Raw genomic sequence first — 8,523 nt, 5'->3', positions numbered from 1 at the left:
AGTAATATGCAAATATGTATATGTGTAAGTATATACATGTGTGTATACATATATGTATAAGTATATACATGCGTGTATACACATATGTATAAGTAATATGTAAAATAAGTAATAATATGTAAAATCACTAATATGTAAAATAAGTAATAAGTAATATGTAAAATAAATAATATGTAAAATGCACATTAGTCCAGCCAACATTTGGTTAGCCTGTGAAAGATAAAACCGTGTTCATTTGACATTAGAAATGACTGCAACCAGGAATTGCAAGGTCAGGGTTTAACATTCTAGAAAACTCCCGCAGGCCTAAGGAGGAATTTCATTGTCATGTGCAATTGGTAGCACGGGCGGATCTTGAAGTGCTGTCATTGACAGCTTCATGTTTTTGACACTCCTTTGCTGCCTGGGGAAGCAGGGAATTCACCTCTGCACCCACAGCAGCTTTTACTACCTTCATCACCATTTCATACCTTCTAATTAACCAAACTTGCTCTACCTTGATAAATCCATGTATGTGTAACGTGGCATATTCCTGATAAACTCTGCAAACATATTTGTTTACGCCTGAGTCCCTTTTTCTTTTTGTAGTCTCTTAAAAAAAAGCCCCGCCTTTTTTTGTTTTTTAAAAAAGCCCCCTCTTTCTTGCAGGTGATCCCTCCCGATGCCGTGTGGACACTCACCGGGGGCTGGATCCCTGCTGGACTTGAAGTCGCCAGAGGTTTTTTTTTTTTTTGTGAACCCCTAAGCACTATGTGGTGTGCAGCTCCTGATAAAGAGGAAGTCTAATTCAGCCTTTGAGTCTGGAGTAGGAGGAAGTTGTAAGCAAGTGAACCATTGAGTTAGGAGCTTTTACTTCAGGCTAATGTTAAATGACAAACTCAAGAGTTCAAGTCTAAACATAGAGTATCCTTGATAATTCTCCATGTGAATTGCCTTTAAGATATACACACACATATATATTTTGCCCAGAGGAGTGACTATGATTTCATAATTTTACTTAAAGTTATGTAAAGTAAAATTTGGAATATTTTCCAGAATGTCATGGTTCAGGTTAGGACAGAAAGCAGGTAAATAATGGGAAAATGAGGACATCAAGAGCTTCATTTGGAAGCCTACTTCAGAATGAAAGCTGTTGGGAAAAAGAGAATATCTGAGTTATATATTTTGAGGCTCTACGATAGATGCTTATAAGGTGATATTTTTCTGGTGAATAGTTAAGTAATGGCTTTTTTTTTTTTTCCTGTGACAGCGTCTCTGTTGCCCAGGCTAGAGTGCAGTGGTGTGATCTCAGCTTACTGCAACCTGTGCCTCCCAGGTTAAGCAATTCTCCTGCCTCAGCCTCCCAAATAGCTGGGACTACAGGTGTGCACCACCAGGCCCGGTTAATTTTTGTGTTTTTGGTAGAGATGGGGTTTCACCATATTGGTTAGGCTGGTCTCGAACTCCTGACCTCAAGTGATCTGCCCGCCTCGATCTCCCAAAGTGCTGGGATTACAGGCATGAGCCACTGCGCCTGGGTAATGGCTATCTTTCTGCCTGAAGTCCTATTTTATCTTACGTTATACTAGCTTTATGTGGGCGAGTATTTGCCTGGCATGTCTTTTCCCATCTCTTTACTTTCATTCTCATTTTATGTCCTTAGATGTCTCTCTCTCTCTTTTTTTTTTTTTGAGACAGAGTCTCACTCTGTCGCCCAGGCTGGAGTGCAGTGGCGCAATCTAGGCTCATTGCAAGCTCCACCTCCCGGGTTCACGCCATTCTCCTGCCTCAGCCTCCTGAGTAGCTGGGACTACAGGCACCCGCCACCACGCCCGGCTAATTTTTTCTATTTTTAGTAGAGACGGGGTTTCACCGTGTTAGCCAGGATGGTCTCGATCTCCTGACCTTGTGATCCGCCCGCCTCGGCCTCCGAAAGTGCTGGGAGTACAGGTGTGAGCCACCGCGCCCGGCCAAATAAAGTTAACTTTTAATTGTTATTTTTATTTTAGAGATAAGGTCTTGCTCGGTCACCCAGGCTGGAGCTCATGGCACAATTATCGCTCACTGCAGCCCCGAACTGCTGGGCTCAAGCGATCCTCCTGCATCAGCCTTCTGAGTAGCTGGGACTACAGGCATGGCCACCACACCTGAGTAATACTGTCCCTGTTTTTGATGACTTTGTCATTTGAGGAGTCCTGGTCAGACATTTTTGCAAAATGTCCCTCCACTGGAATTTGTCTGATGTTTTTCTCATGATTAGACTGGGATTGTGGGTTTTTGGGAGGAAGACCACAAAAGTAAAGTGCCATTTTTGTCACATTATATCGCAGATATATTGTCATACATCCTTTAATGAGGGGGATGCGTTCTGAGAAATGTGTCTTTAGGCGATTTCATCATTGTGGGAGCATCACAGAGTGTGCTTACACAAACCTAGATGGCACAGCCTATTCCACACCTAGGCTATATGTATGGCCTGCTGCTCCTAAGCTACAAACCGGCACAGCATTTTACTATGGGCAACTGTAACACAGTGGTAGGTATTTGTGTATCCAAACATATCTAAACATAGAAAAGGCACAGCAAAAATATGGTATAGAATTTTTTTCTTTTTTTGAGATGGAGTCTTGCTGTGTCGCCCAGGCTGGACTGCAGTGGCATGATTTCAGTTCACTGCAGCCTCTGCCTCCCAGGTTCTAGTGATTCTCCTGCCTCAGCCTCCGGGGTAGCTGAGATTATAGGCATGCAGCACATGCCTGGCTAATTTTTGTATTTTTAGTAGAGATGGGGTTTCACCATATTGGCCAGGCTGGTCTCTAACTCCTGACCTCAGGTGATCCACCTGTCTCGGCCTCCCAAAGTGCTAGGATTACAGGTGTGAGCCACCGTGCCCAGCCTAGAATATTTTTTAAAATGGTATATAGGATACTTCCCATGAATGGAGCTTGGAGTTGCTGTCATTTGCAGTGGCTCACGCCTGTAATCCCAGCGCTTTGGGAGACCGAACTCCCAAAGGAGTGGAGGACCGGAAGTTGCTCTGGGTGAGTGAGTGAGTGAGTGGTGAGTGAATGTGAAGGCCTAGGACATTACTGTACACTACTATAGACTTTATAAACACTGCAGTTATGCTACAGTAAATTTATAAAAATTGTTTTCTTCAATAACAAATTAACCTTAGCTTCCAATAACTTTTTACTTTATCAACTTTTTATTTTTTTAACTTTTTGACTCTTCTGTAATTACACTTAAAACACATTGTACAGCTGTACAAAAATATTGTCTTTTTTTTTTTTTGCAAGACAGAGTCTCGCTCTGTCACCCAGGCTGCAGTGCAGTGGTGTGAATCTTGGCTCACTGCAACCTTCACCTCCTGAGTTCAAGCAATTCTCCTGTCTTAGACTCCTGGGTAGCTGCGATTACAGGTGCCTGGCACCACACCTGGCTAACTTTTGTATTTTTAGTACAGACGGGGTTTCGCCATGATGGCCAGGCTGGTCTCGAACTCCTGACCTCAGGTGATCCACCCGCTTTGACCTCCCAAAGTGCTAGGATTATAGGTGTGAAATACCATGCCCGGCCTATCGTCTTTCTTTGTATCCTTATCCTATAAGCTCTTTTCTTTCTTTCTTTCTTTTTTTTTTTTTGAGACGTTGTTTTGCTCTTGTAGCCCAGGCTGGAGTGCAATGGCACAATCTCGGCTCACCACAACCTCTGTCTCCTGGGTTCAAGCGATTCTCCAGCCTCAGCCTCCTGAGTAGCTACGATTACAGGCATGCTCTACCATACCCGGCTAATGTTTTTCATATTTTTAGTAGAGACAGGGTTTCTCCATGTTGGTCAGGCTGGTCTTAAACTGCCAACCTCAGGTGATCTGCCTGCCTCGGCCTCCCAAAGTGCTGGGATTAAAGGCATGAGCCACCATACCTGGCCTTTTATTTTTAATTTAAAAAAATTTAAAAAATTCTTTCAGCTTTTTTATTAGGAATGAAGACACAAACACACACATCAGCCTAGGCCTACACAGGGTCAGGATCATCAATGTCACTGTCCTCCACCTCCACATTTTGTCTCATTGGAAGGTCTTCAGGGGCAGTAACACACGCATTATCCCCTGTGATAACAATGTCTTCTTCTGGGTACCTCCTGAAGGACCCTCCTGAGATCTTCTTGAGGTGGGGTCACTCTTTTCAGAAATATGTCCATGGTGGTTTGCTTGGTTTGTTTCTTTTCTTTAACATAGATTTCCCTATAAACAGATAATGCACCATGAACATTTCTGTCTGTTAATAAAAACCTTTTGGTGTTGGGTGTCCATGTTTTCAAACTTCTTAAAGAGTTTGCTGAAATCTGCGGAAGCTTCTGCTAAACTCTTCACTGTGAGTTTTCTTGGGAGTTCTTTTCCTTCTTTCAAACTTCTTAAGGAGTTTGCTGAAGTCTGCAGAAGCTTCTGCTAACCCCTTCACTGTGAGTTTTCTTGGGAGTTCTTTTCCTTCTTTCAAACTTCTTAAGGAGTTTGCTGAAGTCTGCAGAAGCTTCTGTCAACCTTTTCACTGTGAGTTTTCCTGAGAGTTCTTTTCCTTCTCCAGCAGCTCCCTTTGCTCTTGCCCCTTCTTCAGCTAGGTGTTCCTGTCCCAGTTCCAATAACTCCTCATTCCTTTAGGAGCTCCTCAATGCCATCCTCAGCCAAACCCAGATTAGAGTTGTTTGCCATCTGAACCACAGCCTTGTTGACTTTTGCAACCTCCTCATCCTTGGCAAATCCTTTGAAATCATGGAAAAACCTCTTGAGTGTCTTCCTCCAGATGCCATTCATACATTCCTCGGTGGCATCACCCCAAGCCCAAGCTCAAAGTGCTTGACACAGTAATAGATGTTGTAATCCTTCCAAAATTACATCCATGTCTTCTCAGGGTCTTCCTCAGTTTCAGCAACAGCCTGGGCAAAAGTCCTCCTTAGGTAATAGTCTTAAAAGCTGTTATAATTCCTTGATGCATTGGTTGGATCAAAGAGGTGGTATTTGGAGGGAGAAACACCACTTTGATATTGAGATGAAAATGACAAAAAAAAAAAAAAAAGAAGAAGAAGAGCATTATCAATAAGCCAATCTTGAAAGATATATTATTCTCCAAACAGTACTTCTCCATCTCACTGGCAGAGTAATTCAGGAGGGCCTCTTGGAAGAGGAGCTGGGTCATCTGTGGCTTCTTATTGCTCCTGCAGTGCACTGGCTGTGTGTGCTAATTGACAGGCTTGAAGGCCCTGGGGTCCTCATAAAGGGTTTCAGTTTGTAATCTGCAACATTGTTGCCAGGCAAGACTTGCTCTGTCCTTAAAAGTCTTCAAACCTGACATTGACTTGGCTTCCTTATGAATGAAAGTTCTTTCAGGCATTCGTTTCCAGAATGGGGAGGTTTCATTCATATTGAAGATTTGCTGTGACAAGTAATTTTCCTCCACAATCAGCTCATCCAGAGTTTCCAAAAATTCTTCTGCTGCCTTCACAACAGCACCCACAGACTCACCACTAACTTGCACTTTATGTAAGGAGTAAGGATTCTTGAATCATTTGAAATACCCAGAGCAGTAAATTCAACACCACAGTCAGGTCCAGCCTTTGCTTTCAACCTTGCAAACCGACATTGCTTTGGTGGTGATTGTCACGGTGCTGAGAGGGATATGTGTCTGTGTTTGGTCTTCAATCCAGGTCATTAGAAGTTTCTCTGCATCTGATAGAGAACTTCCATGAATTTTTGTTAGTTTCATCGCTTTCAATGAAGCAGATCCCTTAACACAGAAGTCCCCAACCTTTTTGGTACCAGGGACCGGTTTCATTGAAGATGATTTTTCTTTCTTTCTATTTTTTTTTGAGACAGAGTGTCACTCTGTCACCCGGGCTGGAGTGCAGTGGCAGATCTTGGCTCACTGTAACCTCTGCCTCCCAGGTTCAAGTAATTCTTGTGCCTCAGACTCCCGAGCAGCTGGGATAACAGGTGTGCGCCACTATGTCCAGCTAATTTTTGTATTTTTAATAGAGGAGGGGTTTCGCCATATTGGCCAGGCTGGTCTTGAACTCCTGGCCTCAAGTGATCCACCCACCTTGGCCTCCCAAAGTACTGGGATAACAGGTGTGAGCCACGCTGGACCAGAAGACAATTTTTCTATGGACTAGGGTGGGGGTTGAGGGATGGTTTGGGGATGATTCAAGCACTTTATATTTATTGTGCTGTTTATTTCTATTATGATTACATTGTAATATATGATGAAGTAATTATACAACTCACCATGATTATAATGATATAACTCATGTCATGATGTAGTGCATGACCGTACTATCAATATGACTTATCACTGTTGGCATTGACCTTAATCACCTGCCAGAGATAGTGTTGGTCAGGTTTCTCTACTGTAAAGTTACTCTTCTCCCATTTTTGGAAGGAAGTCACTACATGCAGGCCACACTTCAGGAGTGAGGAGTTATGCTCCACCTCTGTGGGGGTGGAGTATCTGTGAGAATTCATTGAACTTCTTCCGCATGGAAGACGTGTCTCTTCTCCCCCTTCTACACTCAGCCCTCTGTATTCTCTGATCCCACATCGTGGATTCAGCCAACCACAGATAAAAAATATTAGGGAAAGAAACCCAGTAAAAATTCATACAAACTGGCCGGGGACACTGGCTCACGCCTGTAATCCCAGCACTTTGGAAGGTCGAGGCGGGTGGATCACCTGGGGTCAGGAGTTTGAGACCAGCCTGGCCAACATGGTGAAACCCCATCTCTACTAAAAATATAAAATTAGCCAGGCGTGGTGGTGGGTGCCTGAAATCCCAACTACTCAGGAGGCTGAGGCTGGAGAATCGCTTAAACCCAGGAGGCAGAGGTTGCAGTGAGCCAAGACGGCACCACTGTACTCCAGCCTGGGTGACAAGAGCGAAACTCCATCTCAAAAACAAAAAACAAAAAACAAAAAAACAAAAAAACCAAAACCAAACCAAACCAAAACAAAAACCAAATAAAACAAGCAACACAGAACAGCTATTTACCTAGCATTTCTATTGTATTAGGTATTATAAGTAATCTAAATATAATTAGAGTGTACAGAGGGATGTGTCCTGGTTATGTGCAAATACGATACCATTTTATATAAAGGACTTGAGCATCCATGGATTTTGGTATCTATGGGGGTCCCGGAACCAATTTGCAGTGGATGCGGAAGGAGAACTGCATTTATTTATTCAATCATTAATATCAGTGTGGACTCATGGGTGTTTATTCCATGCTTTGGGTTATGATCCAATCTATTTTATTTTGTTACTCAAGTTGTTCCAGTTTTGACTATTGGGATCTCTTTCAGTTGGATCCTGTGACCCTTTGACGTCTCCCCACTGATGTGGGCTTTTTTTTGGTTTGTTTGTTTTGAGCACTTTCCTACTTTCTGGTACTAGTAGGTGCTCCTGGCTTATCCTGTGTATTTCCTGCCCCAGTCTTAGAATCGGTCATTTCTCCATGGAACTTTGGTTTCTTTTATTGGCAACACGGTGAGGCTCCATCTCTACAAAAGATCATGGGCTGGGCATGGTGGCTTCACGCCTGTAATCCCAACACTTTGGGAGGCCAAGGCGGGCAGATCACTTGAGCTCAGGAGTTCGAGACTAGTCTGGGCAACATGGTGAAACCCCATCTCTACCAAAAATACAAAAAACAATTAGCTAGGAATGGTGGTGGGCACCTGTAGTCCCAGCTACTAGGGAGACTGAAGTGGGAGAATCGCTTGAGCCCAGGAGGTGGAGGTTTCAGTGAGCCAAGATTGCGCCACTGCGTTCCAGCCTGGGAAACGGAATGAGATCCCATCTGAAAAAAAAAAAAAAAAAAAAAGGCTGGGCATGGTGGCTTTGGCTTGAAAGCGCTGAGATTACAAGTGTGAACCACCATGCCCAGCCAAGACTGCTGAATTTGTGCATGCAATTCTTGTGTGTGTAACCATCAGAACGGCACGCCCCACCCTTTTAAAGTTTTATTTTCTTATAGCGGAGAGCTACGACAGAACCTCCTTTCTATCTTATTCTTGAAGTACCTTTAAGCAGGAATAAGATGATCAATATAAAGCCAATGATTGCCAGCTTCTTTATTAATGTGGCTATTTTGTTTTTCATAAAAATTGTCTCACATTTTTAAAGACTTCTATAATATATAAAATATCGTAATATTGCTCTTCTTTCTATTCTTCCTACCAGGATTAGTAGAAAATTTTCTGTGAAAATAATCTTTAGTTTATTTTCCAGAAACTTCTCCCCCACAGAAGCTCTTGAAAATACTTTTTGGTTTTGTTTTGTTCAAGAGACAGCTGAATATAGCTCTTGGAGAGGAGATCCTCTGACATGAATTGACTGAGACAGCTTGTAATAACATTAGTAGGTATTTTCCGGGCACAGTGGGGAAGGTGTCCACAATATATACCCGTAAAATCCTTTGGGATTTTGTGTTCAGATTTTTTGCAAGTCAAAAACATAAGTCCCTGAAGGTAGTGGTTTTTGTATTTAAGAAAGG

General features: G+C 42.8%; 1 annotated feature.

Annotated features, from left to right (window-relative positions):
* Positions 4,730-4,899: an enhancer, noted in NCBI's record as "experimental_51262 CRE fragment used in MPRA reporter constructs". NCBI's record gives its function as "activates a minimal promoter by MPRAs in K562 erythroleukemia cells, with activity observed for both the introgressed and non-introgressed 19:34591176 variant alleles {active_cell/tissue: K562}" and the evidence as "EXISTENCE:reporter gene assay evidence [ECO:0000049][PMID:34662402]".

This window comes from Homo sapiens, chromosome 19, assembly GCF_000001405.40.
Source record: "Homo sapiens chromosome 19, GRCh38.p14 Primary Assembly".
Classification (NCBI taxonomy): domain Eukaryota; kingdom Metazoa; phylum Chordata; class Mammalia; order Primates; family Hominidae; genus Homo; species Homo sapiens.
The sequence above is the reverse complement of the archived record's forward strand: the minus strand, read 5'-3'. Positions and strand labels throughout refer to the sequence as shown.